The sequence below is a fragment of the Homo sapiens genome, chromosome 19 (genome assembly GCF_000001405.40).
Source record: "Homo sapiens chromosome 19, GRCh38.p14 Primary Assembly".
Taxonomy (NCBI): domain Eukaryota; kingdom Metazoa; phylum Chordata; class Mammalia; order Primates; family Hominidae; genus Homo; species Homo sapiens.
In genome coordinates, this window is record NC_000019.10 from 39,634,259 (window position 1) to 39,654,169 (window position 19,911).

General features: G+C 41.6%; 2 pseudogenes across 1 annotated transcript, besides 1 other annotated feature; both read left to right on the forward strand.

The window, feature by feature from the left end:
• The first annotated feature begins 4,426 nt into the window (after positions 1-4,426).
• Positions 4,427-8,143, forward strand: LOC100129935 (galectin 14 pseudogene; annotated as a pseudogene). Its single transcript, NR_026870.1, is given in 4 exon segments — positions 4,427-5,710; positions 6,216-6,426; positions 6,563-6,648; positions 7,894-8,143. The product of NR_026870.1 is annotated as a galectin 14 pseudogene (transcript).
• A 1,437-nt stretch (positions 8,144-9,580) lies between these two features.
• On the forward strand, positions 9,581-11,553 carry RPS29P30 (ribosomal protein S29 pseudogene 30; annotated as a pseudogene).
• Positions 11,638-11,838: a silencer, noted in NCBI's record as "peak3479 fragment used in MPRA reporter construct". NCBI's record gives its function as "represses an SCP1 promoter by STARR-seq MPRAs in K562 erythroleukemia cells {active_cell/tissue: K562}" and the evidence as "EXISTENCE:reporter gene assay evidence [ECO:0000049][PMID:32103011]".

A 19,911-nucleotide genomic window follows, 5' to 3' on the forward strand; every position in this document is an offset into this window, starting at 1 on the left:
TTTGTCAAAGATCAGATGGTTGTAGATGTGTGGTGTTATTTCTGAGGCCTCTGTTCTGTTCCATTGGTCTATCTCTCTGTTTTGGTACCAGTACCATGCTGTTTTGGTTACTGTAGCCTTGTAGTATACTTTGAAGTCAGGTAGCATGATGCCTCCAGCTTTGTTCCTTTGGCTTAGGAATGACTTGGTAATGCGGGCTCTTTTTTGGTTCCATATGAACTTTAAAGTAGTTTTTTCCAATTCTGTGAAGAAAGTCATTGGTAGCTTGATGGGGATGGCATTTAATCTATAAATTACCTTGGGCAGTATGGCCATTTTCATATTTATTCTTCCTATCCATGAGCATTGAATGTTCTTCCATTTGTTTGTGTCCTCTTTTATTTCATTGAGCAGTGGTTTGCAGTGCTCAGTAAGTTGGATTCCTAGGTATTTTATTCTCTTTGTAACAATTGTGAATGGGAGTTCACACGTGGCTTGGATCTCTGTTTTTCTGTTATTGGTGTATGGGAATGCTTGTGATTTTTGCACATTGATTTTGTATCCTGAGACTTTGCTGAAGTTGCTTATCAGCTTAAGGAGATTTTGGGCTGAGTCGATGGGGATTTCTAAATAAACAATCATGTCATCTGCAAACAGGGACAATTTGACTTCCTCTTTTCCTAACTTAATACCCTTTATTTCTTTGTCTTGCCTGATTGCCCTGGCCAGAACTTCCAATACTATGTTGAATAGGAGTGGTGAGAGAGGGCCTCTCTGTCTTGTGCCAGTTTTCAAAGGGAATGCTTCCAGTTTTTGCCCATTCAGTATGATATTGGCTGTGGGTTTGTCATAAATAGCTTTTATTATTTGAGATACGTTCCATCAATACCTAGTTTATTGAGAGTTTTTAGCAGGAAGCACTGTGGAATTCTGTCAAAGGCCTTTTCTGCATCTATTGAGATAATCATGTGATTTTTGTCACTGGTTCTCTTTATGTGATGGATTACGTTTATTGATGTGCATATGTTGAACCAGCCGGGCATCCTAGGGATGAAGCCAACTTGATCTTGGTGGATAAGCTTCTTGATGTGCTGCTGGATTTGGTTTGCCAGTATTTTATTGAGGATTTTTGCATCAATGCTCATCAGGGATATTGGTCTAAAATTCTCTTTTTTTGTTGTGTCTCTGCCAGGCTTTGGTATCAGGATGATGCTGGCCTCATAAAATGAGTTAGGGAGGATTCCCTCTTTTTCTATTGATTGGAATAGTTTCAGAAGGAATGGTACCAGCTCCTCTTTGTACCTCTGGTAGAATTCGGCTGTGACTCCATCTGGTCCTGGACTTTTTTTGGTTGGTAGGCTATTAATTATTGCCTCAATTTCAGAGCCTATTATTGGTCTATACAGAGATTCAAATTCTTTCTGGTTTAGTCTTGGAGGGGTGTAAGTATCCAGGAATTTATCCATTTCTTCTAGATTTTCTAGTTTCTTTGCATAGAGGTATTTACAGTATTCTCTGATGGTAGTTTGTATTTCTGTGGGATCGGTGGTAATATCCCCTTTATCATTTTTTATTGCATCTATTTTGTTCTTCTCCCTTTTATTCTTTATTAGTCCTGCTAGCGGTCTATCAATTATGTTGATCTTTTCAAAAAACCAGCTCCTGGATTCATTGATTTTTTGAAGGGCTTTTTGTGTCTCTATCTCCTTCAATTCTGCTCTGATCTTAGTTATTTCTTGCCTTCTTCTAGCTTTTGAATTTGTTTGCTCTTTCTTCTCCAGTTCTTTTAATTTTGATGATAGGGGGTCGATTTTAGGTCTTTCCAGCTTTCTCCTGTGGGCGTCTAATGCTATAAATTTCCCTCTAAACACTGCTTTAGCTGTGTCCCAGAGATTCTGGTATGTGGTGTGTTTGTTCTCATTGGTTTCAAAGAATTTATTTATTTCTGCCGAATTTTGTTATTTACCCAGTAGTCATTTAGTTTTACATTTTGAAACACCCAAACAACTGTCACTGGATTGCTTGCAACAGAAAGGATAAATGCTTTATGGGATGGATGCTGCATTCTCCATGATGTGATTATTTGCATGCTTGTATCATATCTTATGTTCCTCATAAATGTATACACCTACTATGTACCCACAAAAAATAAAAATAAATGACAGGCAAACGACCAATATGCACATGAAAAGATACCCAACATCATGAGTCGTTAGGGAAATGAAAGTCAAAAGTATCATGAGATACCACTTCACATTCATTAGGACGGCTATTACTTAAAAAATGAAAACTGACAGGTGTGAGGATGTGGATAAACTGCAACCCTTGAACATTGCTGTTTGGAGTGTAAGATGGTGTGATTGCTGTGGAAAATATTATGGCAGTTCCTCAGAAAGGTTACTCATCATAATATACATCTCTTTAGCAACTGGGATACATTTTTTCTATCAATGGTTTAAATTCACTGGCAATAAAACTGAAGAGAAAAATGAAGTAAGAGGGAGAAAGAAACAAGGGAGAAAGGAAATTCGAATTCACTTGACCTTTAAATTCTAATATATGTTTTAAGGCTGCTTCCTTTCATCATGAACAGAGAACTTGAGTCCTCCACACCAGTTGAAGAAAACTGCATTGTGACTGAAGTCCAATCACCTGTACCTCACACAGTCTGGAAATAAGGAACACACAAATCAAGAACTAGACAAGAAATTCAACTTTCTCCACAAATCTTCTTGGGAAAGAGTGTCTCTGAAAATTTTGATACCCTTGGACACTCAGAAAAGAAAAGGGTGGAGTTAGAGCCCAGCTGTGTGAGAGGCAGATGGGAACTGGCCTCACCTGGCAAAGCCAAGGGAACCAGTGTGAGACCAGGGGGGACACAAGGGCTTTCTCTACCTCCTTCCATAGGTCCTGTTTAGGATCAAGACCATTGTTCTCCCAGAACCTCTATAGGCAAAAAGAAGGATTACCTTCCGTTGCCAATAATTTCCACCAGAATCCTCACTATTTTTACCATTGTACAAATTAGGAAAATGCACACATTCTTGGTAGATTCTGCACAGTGGAGAGAAAGCTTAAAGAGAGGCATGGAGGCTGGACTTTACAACCCCTCAACCTCACTCCATCATCCTTATCTGTGCATTTCCCTGGTGACCTCTTTTTCCTCCTGGTGCCTCCCCCACTGTCATTTCTGCTGCATCACAGACACAGACTTGCAAGCAAGTGTGGTTGTGACTGAGTCTATTTCTGACACCTTACCCTTTCTCACCCTGTGGGGAATTCTTGCTGAGAGGGCTTTGGAATCAGGAATGAAGCCAGAGGGCAGGGCTGACAGGGACCATTTAAATGCTGCAACTCCTAGAGATTCACATGGAAGCCTGGACACAATTCAGAAGAGCCAACCCAAGGAAGCAAAAATGTCACCACTACCTGTGAGTTAAAAAGGCACAGCCTTCAATAATCTCAAGTCACATTAAAGAAGGTGGAAAAAGGGAGATTTTATGAGAGGAAAATATGAGAGTTTCTATTGTGAATGTTTTACTGAGATTGGAGGTGTGTGGAAGACAGAGACCCTGGGACTATGATGTCTGAGATGTTTGTGGGGTGTCAGGTGTGGCCCATGGACCAGTGTAACCCTCTGTGAGGGTGTGATAGTGTCTGATGAGAGTCAACTCTGCTGAGATGATGTTACGTTAGGTAAAAGGTGTAAAGCCCACCAGGATGGGTGGGACGTGCCTGAGTGTAAGAGGGTGACTGTGTTTTGTCTTCCTGTCTGTGATGTGAGTGTGTGTGAGCACACCCAGACCAATGCATGAGCATCTTTATATGGACAGTGAGCAGGCATGTGTGACTCAGTGAGTGGTGTGGCTCTGTGTGACTGTGGTAGTGTGTGTGATGGGATGTGACTAGGTGTTGAACTGGGAACATGCACGTGGCCTTCTGTCCATGTGAAGTTTCCTCCTTACACAGCAGGGCCTCTGATGAAGCAGCTGTGCATCTTCCCATGTGTGTCAGTGTGGATCCCGGGTGGCAGAACTGGTGGGGATCTTGGGGACTGGGAGTTACCAATGACTCATTTGTGAGCATTAATGAGAGCAGAATGTATGATCTGTAGATGTCTCTTCCCAGGCAGAGTGGAAAAGAGGAATCCAGACTATGGGAACAATGGTCCCTCAGGTGGGGTCTGCACATAGTGACCATGATCTCCTGCCTCTCATCCTCAGGTCTTTTCCTGTCTCCCACCCAAGGCTGCCATTCCCATTGTAGGTCAGGAGGGTGTGCAAGTCCTGGCTCTCTGAGGAAGAACATTGGAGACTGTGGTTTTAGAGACTGAATCACCTCAAACTGGAAAGGAACAAGGGTAGCCTCAGTTCAGATAGAGTTTACAGTGGATATTAATCATCCAAGTAGCTGGGTTTGCTGGCTCATGTCTATAATCTTACCATTTTGATAGGCAAAAATGGGAAAATAACTTGAGGCCAGGAGTATAAGAGCAGCCTGGGCAAAATAGTGAGACACCGTCTTTACAAAAACTTTAAGTGTCAGACAGGCAACTTGGTGGGCATTTTTTTTTTGAGACGGAGTCACTCTGTCACCTAGGCTGGATTGCAATGGTGCAATCTTTTCTTACTGCAACCTTCGCCTCCCGAGTTCAAGTGATTCTCCTGCCTCAGCCTCCTGAGTACCTGGGATTACAGGTGCACACCACCACGCTTGGCTAATTTTTGTATTTTTAGTAGAGACGGGATTTCACCATGTTGGTCAGGCTGGTCTCGAACTCCTGACCTCGTGATCGACCTTCCTTGGCCTCCCAAAGTGCTGGGATTACAGGCATGAGCCACTGCACCCAGCCTTGGCGGGCATCTTTCACCAAAGCTACTCAGGAAGCCAAGGTGTGAGGACCCCTGCAGCACAGGAGTTCAAGGCTTCAGTGAGCTATGGGTGCACCACTACACATCAGCCTGGGTGAGAGAGTGAGACCATGTCTCAGAAAGGAAGAAAAATTATCCACTTGTAGGTTGTCTCTAATTACTTCCCTGACCCGCACTCTTCATTTGTCCAAGTGCTGCAGCTGTGCTCTCAACAATTTTTACAACTTCTGGGAAAGATGCCCATGGCCCTTGACGATAGTGATGCATGTGCATCCCACACACAGGGGTTTCCTGTTCTTTTGTTATTTCCCTCTCTCTTTCAACAAGTGTTGCTTCTTACGGATTGAATTTCTCCACTGATAGATCCTCAAGTCTTGTTTTCACAGATATTAATTTCTCTATCACTAAGATCACCCATTAGTAAGAATTACTAATAAAGATAAAAAATAAAAAGTAAAGAAAGTACAGAAAAAAAGAATTTTAAATAATCTTCCTAGTACCTGGGAAACAGTTAGGCAGAGTTCAGGTATGGATCTAAGATGGCACTGTCAGTAAGAGGCAGAATCAGGACTGGAGTCCAGGCAGCCTGGCTCCTGAATCCTAGCTCCTAACTATGAGACCCTCATGTCTTTAGGAATATGGAGTTCTGACTGTGATAGGGTGAAAGAGGGAAGTCCTCACAGTTTGCCTGTTGATCTCTAATTTTCTACATCATGGTAATCTGTCACAAAAGGGGAGGCCACACCTGGCCCAGCCCCTTTCACCCACTCTCAATCCCCTAGCAGGTGCCACACAGAAGGCGTGTCCTCGTCCATTGGTTCTTGCATGACAATCAGAGGGACACGGATCCTCCCTTTCATGTGAGTACTGCATGGCACAGGGGTGGAAAAGAAGGGAGAATATTTACTCAGGAGGTGGTCTCATGTGAGTGATGTGGAAATTTCTAGTTGGCAGGATGGAGGAACCATGCAGGCGCAGGTCCTGGAGACCCTCCAGCACCAAGCATGAAACCTGCAGTGGCTGAACTGTGGGCCAGTCATGAGGTCTAAGGGAGGAGAACACTCAGGGGTTAGGGCTGTGGCTCTTTATCAAGGGGCACAGAATTTTCAGGGAATGGACAAGGCATAGACCCAGGTAAGTGACTGTGGCTCACTTTCCATCTTGTGAGGGGAAGAGAATCTCCCCACCTGGGGGATATACGAGGAGCTAAAGCAGCCCCACAGGGACCAGGCCTGCAGTATCACCAGAGAGATCAGGGAGGCTTCTTTATGCCTTGGGGAAAAGAAGGAAGGGATTTGTGTGTGTGTTGAGTGTGTGTCCTACAAGGGAGGGGCCTGCCCAACACTCCGTGTGCTTTGCCCTCAGCAATGACCCAGAGCTGCGGGTGGAATTCTACACTGGGATGAATGAGAACTCAGACATCGCCTTCCATTTCTGAGTGCACTTTGGCCATTGTTTGGTCATTGACAGCCATGTGTGTGGGGCCTGGAAGTGTGAGGGGAGATGCCACAATGTGTTCTTCAAGGACGGCAAACAATTTGATCTGAGCATCTTGGTGCTAGACAATGAATACCAGGTGAGTGCCCTAGGAGCTCCCGGTATCCAGCCTCCATGGGTTCTCAGAGCAGGAGGCAGCTCTCCCTGGCCTGACCCAAATAGATTTTCAGGACCCATTTCTCATAACTACTCTTACCCCAGGCTTTTTATCACAGAGCACCCTCTGGTTGCACCGCTATCCTCAGCTCGTTTCCAAAATCTGACCGTGATCAGTATCAGCTCATCTGGCATTTCCCCCAAGGTGAAGAATCTCCTGTCTTTTCTCACTGTATTCATTTCTACTTATGTTGCTGTTTAAATTTTCACTTTGCTGAATGAATACAATATTCATAAGAATAAAATTGTTTTAGTCAATGAAAAATTAAGGCTTTGTCTCACTCCTGGACCCAATCTTATTCCTGAGAGCATTACCAGCGCTCTGCTCTCCTTCCACAGGAAATCTTTGCTTATAGAAGCATATAGATCTACAATTTCATTTGTTTTTAAGAAAATCCTAGTATACATTGCTCCACACGTTACACCTTAAAAACTGAGTTGATTTGTTGTGAAAGAATATATCTTGAAGATACCGTCTATTAATGGTGCTTCCTCAGTTTTTAAAGAATGCATAATATTGCATTATAAGGATTACCTAAAATTATTAATCTTGACTCTTTTTAAGGGCCTTGAGGTTATTTCCAATATTTTGCTCTCACTAATGGTGCTGTATTAAGACTTCTAGTCAATTCTTTTGTTTTATCCACCTCCCTTACTTATATTGAAAGATAATCATAAAGAAATGAAAAACTGGTTCAAAAATGTGTGCATTTTAAATTTAACAAATTGACACCTAGAAGGTTACTTTATAGACTCAGTAATGAAGAATATATCCAAATGTTCTGGCCCTTTCTTATGAGTAGAGCAAAAGATTCACATTTTATTCAGATTCAAGTGAAGGATCTCTTTCTATGCTTAGAAACCGTTCAAAATGATAGCCTATGTTTTGCAACACTTGTCCAATTCTACCTCTCCAACAACACTTGAATTTTATTCTTGGCCACCATCAGCCCAGATCTAGGCAACTCCAAAGAGAAACTGGGCCATCAGTAGGGAATGGCAGTCAGAGTTCATGGAACAGATATATATGCATTCAATGAACATAATCCAGTGTTAATCCTGTTTGAACCCCTGTACAAGATGCAGGGATTCAAGTTCATGAAATACAGTCACTAGCCATGGGGATTTTCCAAGCTAGACGGGAGGCTGAGCAAACATAGACCATGTGACACAGAGTGGTACAGCCTTGCTGGAGGAAACAGAGGAAACACTAGAAATAATGTGAGCACTCTCTCAAATAGTTAATCTTTAACAGGATTGTGAGTCTTGGGTTCAGTTATATAACTAGCAGTTTTCTCAGGGGATGTTGTAGGTATAGGAGAGAGTAGAGAGAAGGCTGAAAGTTTGTTTGGTGGCATACTGTCTTTCTGAGGCACTTTTCCTCTTGTAGGTAATAATAAATGGCCAACACCATACATCTTTGCCCATCCACTTCCACCATGTTCTATGAAGATTTTGCAAGTGTGGGAAGATGTCTCCCTGACCTCAATGTCTGTCTGCAATTTATGGAGATGACCACACCCCTCATTGTTGAGGAATCCCTCTTTCCATGTGACCATAGGATCCCCAGAGCCTGCTAACAGCATGATCTCTCCTCACCCTTTTCCCTACACTTGGTCATTAAAACATCACCAAACTTCCCAGAATTTGGTTCTTGCTTTAAGGGGGAAAGAGAAAGTGGTAATCCCCAAGAGGCCCCGAGGAACTTTATGGGAAGCATCCAGAAATCAAATAGGATAAACCTTCTTGTGACTCCAGGAGTGAATGACAAGGTCCCTGCAATATCTTAGGAGACATTAGGTACAGCATCCTTTGACAGCATATTGTTGACATCAGAGACTCTGAGACAAAATCTTTACCCTATCTTAGATGACTCACTGCACTGAAATGTTAGGTAGATGTTTACAGCCACACAGATGTACCTCGTGGCTTTGGGGAGAAATTTTGTAACTTAAGAACAATCTAGTGGAATTTCCTAATACTTTCCATTATTTTCAGGATATTTATTGTATGTTAACACGGTGCCTGGCTCTGTATAGGCTGCCATACAGGAGCTTTACAAAAAGACACGTTTCTCACTTGAAAATTTCAATCCAAGCAACAGTTAGAGAATCACAGGAGTCCAAAGATTTCTCTTAAAGAACCCCAATTGTGGAAGATAGTGTGGCAATTCCTCACGGATCTAGAACTAGAAATACCATTTGACCCAGCAATCCCATTACTGGGCATATACCCAAAGGATTATAAATCATTCTGCGATAAAGACACATGCACACATGTGTTTCTTGCGGCACTATTCACAATAGCAAAGACTTGGAACCAACCCAAAAGTCCATCAATGATAGACTGGATTATGAAAATGTGGTACATACACACCATGGAATACTATGCAGCCATAAAAAGGATGAGTTTATGTCCTTTGCAGGGACATGGATGAAGCTGGAAACCATCATTCTCAGCAAACTATCAGAAGATCAGAAAACAAAACACCACATGTTCTCACTCATAAGTGGGAGCTGAACAATGAGAACACATGGACACAGGGAGGGGAACGTCGCACACTGGGGCCTGTTTGGGGGTAGGGGGCTAGGGGAGGGATAACATTAGGAGAAATCCCTAATGTAGGTGACAGGTTGATGGGTGCAGCAAACCACCATGGCACATGTATATCTATGTAACAAAACTGCACGTTCTGCACATGTAACCCAGAACTAAAGTATAATTTTTCTTAAAACTAAAAAATAATAATAATAATTGTGAGATTTTTCCAAAGTATGTGGCAGAATCCTGGGATTTCTATTTAAAAACAAGTGGTCATGGTTTTAGATCAGAAAATATGTAGTTTATTTTTGGGATGGACACAATTCATACACATGGACACAGTGAGCTGACCTTGCTTTGCTGCTCTTTCATTAGGCATTGCAGCACAGCAAAGCTCCCAACACACGTTGGCTTACAGAAATCATTTACTCTGATCTTTCTTGGTTAACTGGACTCATGTGGGTAGTAGATCATGTGGTGAGAGTCATGTTTTCTGAAGCGTCTTTTAGTTTGGGATTCCAGAAGATGCTTCACTCATGTCTGACTCAACACGAGGGCTGGGTGAGCACCTACGGGCTGGCTGATTATCTCCTTCCCTACGTCACTTCCCTATTCATGCCTTGAATTCCCTCAAATCATAAGAGTCTCATGGTTCTTGGACTTAAGGAATGATGATTGGCTGCCACCAAAGAAAGCCTTCCAAAAGGCTCAAGGAGAAGGTGAAAGGCATCATAGGACCTGGCTTTGAAAGGCAGACAGTGTCACTTCTATGACATTATATTGATCAAAGTGAGCCATACACAAGCCCAAATCAAAGGGAGGGGGGTTTCATAAGATGTGGTTATTTTGACATGCAGTCATGAGGGAGCATCCTTGGCAACTATTTCCACTCAGTCCTCACTGGCTTACATTTTTCCCATATATCAAAAGCACTAATCCTGTAAGGAACCACTGAAGGCAATACACTTATAGGAACAGGCTCAGATTGTAGTCCAGAATGTTATCATCCAATCAGGATCTGGTGTCCATGAAGTGACTAGAAATTATCATGTGCACTTTCTTTCAACATCTGCACTAAAGAAATACATTATCTGCCCTATACATATTAAACCTACAAGACTAAAACAGATATAGGAAAATGCAGTGAACACACTTATTTTAGAGGGACAAAAGATAATAAACAGCACCCTGAAAGCAAGATGGGTCACCAACAACTCTACTGGAGCCACCCACAAAAAAATCAGCCAGGGTTCTCACCCTTGTTGCATCTGCTCAAACCAGCATCTCCTTATCTGAAAATATTGTCTTGATATGTGCCGCTTCTGTTTCCACAAGTACTTAAAGGATATAGGTCTCATTAAGTTGGACTAAGTGATGCTCCTTGAATTAATAAGCAAGACATCCACTCAGTGAAAGAAACCATGCTAACTCTTTGTACATGAATAAAAATTAAAATAAAGAAACCAATACAAACAAACAAGAACAAAAAAAAAATAGGCATCCATCACTGGTCCACATCTTGCTGAAGCCAACTATACCCGTATTTTCATCTTCTCTGAAAACGTTTCTCTGCAACAGTTGGCTCCACCTTCTACTGTCAGCTTCTTAGAGCTCCTACCAAGTAGGCACAATGACAGCCCTTTTCCCTCTATAAGAGCTGTTGTCATCTGGTTCATAGCACAAATAGAGAACCATTTAGGAGAAGATAAACAACATATTACCTAAAAGCCAAACAATGCAGACTGAAGAGGGTCTCATCAAATAGCCTCTTTGTCTGCAGGGCCTATCACAGGTGTCAATTTGATCATCTTCATCCTCTCTTTCCATGTTCATTGCCACAACTTGTTCAGCTCCAACCTTACTCATGGGTATGCCTCTCTCCTTGCCCTCCTTTAACCTAATATTCATATACCTTGAGGTGTCAATGCACAGTAAATGACACCTTCATGCCTCTCTTTCTTGTTGCTTTCCTGTATGAACTGAAATTCCCTCCGCTGTCACTGGAAAGTCTCAGGTTCTTGTTAGGTACACTTTCCCCCTTATATCATCCCTCTCACAGTTTTGGTCACCGCCCTATTTTGATGATGGATCATAGGCCCCCTCATCAGCATGGAAATCATTTCTTGGGGAATTAGGCAATACTTGCTCTGAGTGGATAAAAACTATCTTGGACCCCATGAGTTTCTGAGCAGAACATGAGATTGATTTCATATCTACATGTCGCTGGACGATGCCCATTGTATTTGCATGACCTACAGTGTCCTACATGCTGCCCCTGCTATACAAACACACAGTGACTGCCTTTTCTTGACTGATATTCACCAGTTCAGTTCAGCTCATATAGGCCATTTGTTACTCTCATCTTTATACCAACTACTACCCTATGCTCATGGTGGCCAGGAGTGATGTCTCAGATAAAAAGAGAAGACATAGAGCCAAGGAACCAATGTTGAACAAACGATTTTTGTTTGCCTCTGGAGACTTACTCAACATCTCTTTCATGCTTGTCAACCCAAGTTCATGGCCTTCTCCCAGCAAATACATCATTGCTGAAAACACAGTAGGTTATTTCCGCAGTCTAAAGCCTTACCTTTTGAAAGGTCTGTAGGGCTTTCCAGTTTTTGCTGAAAGCCCCCAAAGAATAAATCTACTCTTTGCTAACGTTGTCCTTGATGTCCAAGTCTCCCAAAGCTGTTTCTTCTGTGGTGCTGTCCGTGGTGCTGAGCTCTGGTGCGTCTGGGCCTGTATTTGCAAGTGAGGGGCCAATAAGACAGAATTAACAGAGAAATTTTTTGTTTTGTATTTGATAAATCACAGCTCAAAATATGTATGATGAACGGAGCAGGAATTGAATTTGGACTTTCAGATCACAATTTCTGCAGTGCCCTCTCTCACCGTCCTATTCAACATAGTGTTGGAAGTCCTGGCCAGAGCAATCAGGCAAGAGAAAGAAAGAAAGGGCATCCAAACAGAAAGAGAGGTCAAACCATCCCTGTTTGCAGATGTCATGATTCTGTATCTAGAAAACATCATAGTCTCTGCCCAAATAATTCTTAAGCTGGTAAACAACTTGAGCAAAATTTCAGGATACAAAATCAAAGTGCAAAAATTACTAGAACTCCTATATACCAACAACAGCAAAGCATAGGGCCAAATCAGGACTGCAATTCCATTCACAATTGCCATAAAAAGAATAAAATACCTAGGAATACAGCTAACCAGGAGGTGTAAGATTTTTACCATGAAAATTACAAAACACTGCTTAAAATATCAGAGATGACCCAAACAAATGGAAAAACATCCCAGGCTCATAGATAGCAAGAGTCATTATCATTAAAACAGCCATATTGCCCAAAGAAATGTACAGATTCAATGCTATTTCTGTTGAACTACCTATGACATCCTTCATAGAATTAGAAAAAAACTATTTTAAAATACTCATGGAACCAAGAACGAGTTGAATAACCAAGACAGTTCTTAGCAAAAAGAATCAAGCTGGAAACATCATATTACCCAATGTCAAACTGTGTTACAGGGCCACAGTAACAAAACAGTATGGTACTGGTACAAAAACAGACACAGAGACCAGTGGGACAGAAGAGAGAGCCCAGAAATAAGGTCACACACCTACAACCATCATCAGACCCTTCCACTAAGCTGACCAAACAAGCAATGTAAAAAGGATTTCTTATTCAAGAAATGGTTCTGGGTAACTGGCTAACCATATGCAGATGATTGAAACTGAACCCCTTCATCACATTATATAGAAAAATCAACACAAGATGGGTTAAAGACTTAAATGTAAATGCAAAACTATAAAAACCTTGGAAGACTACATAGGCAATACCATTCTGAATGTAGAAATGGACAAAAGTTTTATGACAAAGATGCGAAAAGCAACCTCAAGAAAAGCAAAAATTGACAGTGGATTTATTTAAGCTAAAGAGCTTCTGCACAGCAACAGAAACTATCAACAGAGTCAACAGACAATCTACAGAATGGGAGAAAATATTTGAAAATTATGTATCTGAAAAAGGTCTTATATCTAGCATCTATAAGGAACTTCAGTAACTTTGCAAGAAAAGAACAAACAACTCCATTAAAAAGTGGGCAAAGGGGCAGGACGCGGTGGCTCACGCCATAATCCCAGCACTTTGGAAGGCTCAGGAGGGCCGATCACGAGGTCAGAAAATAACTTGAGACCAGTCTGCCCAACATGGTGGTCTCAGACACCTAGACCAATGGAACAGAATGGAGAACCCAGAAATGAGGCCACACACCGACAACCATCTGATCTTCAACAAAGCTGACCAAACAAGCAACGGAAAAAAGACTCCCTACTCAAGAAATTGTGCTGGGAGAACTGGCTAGCCATATGCAAAAGATTGAAACTGAAGCCCTTCCTTAAACCATATACAAAAATCAATTCAAGATGGATTAAAGACTTAAATGTAAAATCCAAAACTACAAACACCCTGGAAGACAACCTAGGCAATACCATGCAGGACATAGGCATGAGCAAAGGTTTCATGATGAAGATTTCAAAGGCAATCACAACAAAAGCAAAAATTGTCAAACTGAATCTAATTAAACTAAAGTGCTTCTGCACAGCAAAAGAAACTATCAAGAGAGTAAACAGACAGCCTATAGAATGGGAGAATATATTTTCAAACTATTTATCTGAAGAAGATCTAATATCCGAGTATCTACAAGAAACTTCAACAACTTTACAAGAAAGAAAAAACAAACCCATAAAAAAGTGGGTAAAGGGCTTGGCACAGTGGCTTATGCCTGTAATTCCAGCACGTTGGACAGCCAAGGCTGGTGGATGGCTTGAGCCCAGGAATTTGAGAACAGGCTGGGTAACGTGGCAAAAACCCATCTCTACTAAAATTAGAAAAAATTAGCCTGGCATGGTGACATGAGCCTGTATTCCCAACTACTCAGGAGGCTGAGCTGGGAGGATCACCTGAGCCCAGAAGCCAGAGGTTGCAGTGAGCTGAGACAGTGCCACACCACTCCAGCCTTTTTGTCAGAGTGAGACCTGTTTTAAAACAATGAAAAAAGGTGAGCATAGGACAGGAACAGACACTTTTCAAAAGTAGACATACAGGTGGCCAACAAGCATATAATAAAAGCTTGACATCACTGAACATTAGAGAAAAGCAAACCAAAACCAAAATGAGATACCATCCCACACCAGTCAGAATGGCTCTTATTAAAGTCAAAAAAGGACAGATGCTGACAAGGTTATGAAGATAAGGGAGCACTTACACATTGTTGGTGGAAGTGTAAATTAGTTCACACATTGTGGAAAGCAGCGTGGTGATTCATCAAACAGCTAACAACAGAACTACCCTTCAACCCAGCAATCCCATCACTGGGTGTATACCCAGAAGAATAGAAATCATTCTGCCATAAAGACATATGCACATGAATGTTCATTGCAAAACTATGCACAATAGCAAAGACATGGAATGAACCCAAATGCCCATCAAGGACAGATTAAATACAGAAAATGTGGTACATGTACACAATGGAATACTATGCAGTCCTATAAAACAGTGAGATTATGTCTTTTGCCATAACATGGATGGAGCTAGAAGCCATTATTCTCAGCAGACTAATGCAGGAACAGAAAACCAAATACTGCATGTTCTCACTTATAAGTGTGAACTAAATGATGAGACTCATGGAACCAAGAGGGGAACAACACACACTGGGGCCTACTTGAGGGTTGAGGGTGAGAGGTGCAATAGGAGCAAAAAAATAACTATTGGGTATTATGCTTAGTACCCAGATGAAGAAATCATAATTACCACAAAACCCATGACACAATTTTATCTGCATGTGTACCACTGAACCTAAAATAAAAGGAAAAATAAATCAAAGAAAAAAACAAATCTCAATTCTGTTCCAAGATGGCTGAATAGGAACAGCTCTGGTCTGCAGCTCCCAGTGTGATCAACGCAGAAGACAGTGATTTCTACATTTCCAACTGAGGTACCTGGTTCATCTCATTGGGACTGGTTGGACAGTGGGTGCAGGCCAAGGAGGGCGAGCTGAAGACCTGGGAAGTGCAAGGGGTCGGGAGATTACCCTTTCCTAGCAAAGGCAAACCATGACAGACTGTACCTGGAAAATTTGGACACAACCAACCAAATAGTGTGCTTTTCCAGTGGTCTTAGCAAATGGCACCCCAGGAGATTACATCTTGCACCTGGCTTGGCAGGTCCCATGCCCACGAAGCTTTGCTCACTGCTAGCGCAGCAGTCTGAGATTGACCTGGGAGGCAGCAGCCTGGCAGGGGAGGGGTGTCCGCCATTGCTGAGGCTTGAGTAGGTAAACAAAGTGGCCAGGGAAGCTCAAACTGGGTGGAGCCCACCACAGCTCTGCAAGGCCTGCTGCCTCTGTAGACTCCATCTCTGGGGGCAGGGCATAGCTGAACACAAGGCAGCAGAAACTTCTGCAGACTTAATCATCCCTGTCTGACAGCTGTGAAGAGAGCAGTGGCTCTCCCAACGTGGTGTTTGAGGTCTGAGAATGGACAGACTACCTCCTCAAGTGGGTCCCTGACCCCCGTTTAGCCTAACTAGGAGACACCTCCCAGTAGGGGCCGACTGACACCTCATACAGGTGGGTGCCCCTTGGGACAAAGCTTCCAAAGGAAGGATCAGGCAGCAATATTTGCTATTTTGCAATATTTGCTGTTCTGCAGCCTCCACTGGTGATACCCAGGCAAATAAGAGTGGACCTCCAGCAAACTCCAACAGATCTGCCGCTGAGGGACCTGACTGTTAGAAGGAAAACTAACAAACAGAAAGGAATAGCATCAACATCAACAAAAAGGAAATCCTCACCAAAACCCCATCTGTAGGTCACCAGCATCAAAGACCAAAGGTAGATAAAACCACAAAGATGGGGAGAAGCCAGAGCAGAAAAGCTGAAAATTCTAAAAACCAGAGTGCATCTTCTCCTCCAAAGGATCACAGCTCCTTGCCAGCACCGGAACAAAGCTAGATGGAGAATGACTTTCATGAGCTGACAGAGCTAGGCTTCAGAAGGTCAGTAATAACAAACTTCTCCGAGCTAAAAGAGGATATTTGAACCCATTGCAAGGAAGCTAAAAATCTTGAAAAAAGATTAGATGAATGGCTAGCTAGAATAAACAGTGTACAGAAGACCTTAAATGACCTGATGGAGCTGAAAACCATGACACGAGAAATACGTGATGCATGCACAAGCTTCAATAGCCAATTCGACCAAGCGGAAGAAAGGGTATCAGTGATCGAAGATCAAATTAGTGAAATAAAGCAGGAAGTGAAGTTTAGAGAAAAAAGAGTAAAAAGAAATGAACAAAGCCTCCAAGAAATATGGGACTATGTGAAAAGACCAAATCTACGTTTGATTGGTGTACCTGAAAGTGGCGGGGAGAATGGAACCAAGTTGGAAAACACTCTGCAGGATATTATCCAGGAGAACTTCCCCAACCTAGCAAGGCAAGCCAACATTCAAATTCAGGAAATACAGAGAACACCACAAAGATACTCCTCGAGAAGAGCAACCCCAAGACACATAATTGCCAGATTCACCAAGGTTGAAATGAAGGAAAAAATGTTCAGGGCAGCCAGAGAGAAAGGTCAGGTTACCCACAAAGGGAAGCCCATCAGACTAACAGCGGATCTCTTGGCAGAAACCCTACAAGCTAGAAGAGAGTGGGGGCCAATATTCAACATTCTTAAAGAAAAGAATTTTCAACCCAGAATTTCATATCCAGCCAAACTAAGCTTCATAAGTGAAGGAGAAATAAAATCCTTTACAGACAAGCAAATGCTGAGAGATTTTGTCACCACCAAGCCTGCCTTACAAGAGCTCCTGAAGGAAGCACTAAACATGGAAAGAAACAACTGGTAACAGCCACTGCAAAAACATGCCAAATTGTAAAGACAATCAATGCTAGGAAGAAACTGCATCAACTAACAGGCAAAATAATCAGCTAACATCATAATGACAGGATCAAATTCACACATAACAATATTAACCTTAAATGTAAATGAGCTAAATGCTCCAATTAAAAGACACAGACTGGCAAATTGGATAAAAAGTCAAGACCCATGAGTGTGCTGTATTCAGGCAACCCATCTCACGTTCAGAGACACACATAGGCTCAAAATAAAGGGATGGAGGAAGATCTACCAAGCAAATGGAACACAGAAAAAAAAGCAGGGGTGGCAATCCTAGTATCTGATAAAACAGACTTTAAATGAACAAATATCAAAAGAGACAAAGAAGGCCATTACACACTGGTAAAGGGATCAATTCAACAAGAAGAGCTAACTATCCTAAATATATATGCACGCAATACAGGAGCACCCAGATTCATAAAGCAAGTCCTTAGAGACCTACAAAGAGACTTAGACTCCCACACCAAAATAATGGGAGACTTTAACACCCCACTGTCAATATTAGACAGGTCACTGAGACAGAAGGTTAACAAGGATATCCAGGACTTGAACTCAGCTCTGGACCAAGCAGACTTAATAGACATCTACAGAACTCTCCACCCCAAATCAACAGAATATACATTTCTCAGCATCACATCGCTCTTATTCCAAAATTGACCACATAGTTGGAAGTAAAGCACTACTCAGCAAATGTAAAAGAACAGAAATCACAACAAACTGTCTCTCAGACCACAGTGCAATCAAATTAGAACTCAGGATTAAGAAACTCACTCAAAACCGCACAACTACATGGAAACTGAACAACCTGCTCCTGAATGACTACTGGGTACATAACGAAATGAAGGCAGAAATAAAGATGTTCTTTGAAACCAATGAGAACAAAGACACAACATACCAGAATCTCTGGGACACATTTAAAGCAGTGTGTAGAGGGAAATTTATACCACTAAATGCCCACGAAATTTCTTTGTGGAAAGATCTAAAATTGACATCCTAACATCACAATTAAAAGAACTAGAGAAGGAAGAGCAAACAAATTCAAAAGCTAGCAGAAGATAAGAAATAACTAAGATCAGGGCAGAACTGAAGGAGATAGAGACACATAAAGAACCAACAAAAAATCAATGAATCCAGGAGCTTGTTTTTTGAAAAAGATCAACAAAATTGATAGACCGCTAGCCAGACTAAAAAAGAAGAGAGAAGAATCAAATAGATGCAATAAAAAATGATAAAGAGGATATCACCACCGATCCCACAGAAATACAAACTACCATCAGAGAATACTATAAACACCTCTACGCAAATAACCTAGAAAATCTAGAAGAAATGGATAAATTCCTGGATACATACACCCTCCCAAGACTAAACCAGGAAGTTGAATCTCTGAATAGACAAGTAACAGGCTCTGAAATTGAGGCAATGATTAATAGCCTAGCAACAAAAACAAGTCCAGGACCAGATGGATTCACAGCTGAATTCTACCAGAGGTAAAAAGAGGAGCTGGTACCATTCCTTCTGAAACTATTCCAATCAATAGAAAAAGAGGGAATCCTCCCTAACTCGTTTTATGAGGCCAGCATCATCCAAATACCAAAGCCTGGCAGAGACACAACAAAAAAAGAGAATTTTAGAGCAATATCCCTGATGAACATTGATGCAAAAATCCTCAATAAAATATTGGCAAACCAAATCTGGCAGCACATCAAAAATCTTATCCACCACGATGAAGTCAGCTTCATACATGGGGTGCAAGTCTTGTTCAACATACTCAAATCAATAAACAAAATCCATCACATAAACAGAACCAGTGACAAAAACTACATGATTATCTCAATAGATGCAGAAAAGGCCTTTGACAAAATTCAACAGCCCTTCATGCTGAAAACTCTCAATAAACTAGGTATTGATGGAATGTATCTCAAAATAATGAGAGCTATTTATGACAAACCGACAGCCAATATCATACTGAATTGGCAAAAGCTGAAAGTATTCCCTTTGAAAACTGACACAAGACAGGGATGCCCTCTCTCACCACTCCTATTCAACATGGTGTTGGAAGTTCTGGCCAGGGCAATCAGGCAAGAGAAAGCAATAAAGGGTATTCAATTAGGAAAAGAGGAAGTCAAATTGTCCCTGTTTGCAGATGACATGATTGTATACTTAGAAAACCCCATCATCTCAGCCCAAAATCTCCGTAAGCTGATGTGACTTCAGCAAAGTCTCAGGATACAAAATCAATGTGCAAAAGTCACAAGCATTCCCATACACCAATAACAGACAAACAGAGAGCCAAATCATGAGCGAACTCCCATTCACAATTGCTTCAAAGAGAATAAAAAACCTAGGAATCAAACTTACAAGGGATGTGAGGGACCCTTTCAAGGAGAACTACAAACCATTGCTCAATGAAATAAAAGAGGATACAAACAAATGGAAGAACATTCCATGATCACGGATAGGAAGAATCAATATCGTGAAAATGGCCATACTTCCCAAGGTAATTTATAGATTCAACGCCATTCCCAACAAGCTACCAATGACCTTCTTCACAGAATTGGATGCTACCTGACTTCAAAGTACACCACAAGGCTACAGTAACCAAAACAGCATGATACTGGTACCAAAACAGATATATAGACCAATGGAACAGAATGGAGCCCTCAGAAATAACACCACACATCTATAACCATCTGATCTTTGATAAACCTGACAAAAACAAGAAATGAGGAAAGGATTCCCTATTTAATAAATGGTGCTGGGAAAACTGGCTAGCCATATGTAGAAAGCTGAAATTGGACCCCTTCCTTACACCTTATACAAAAATTAATTCAAGATGGATTAAAGACTTAAATGTTAGACCTAAAACCATGAAAACCCTAGAAGAAAACCTAGGCAATATCATT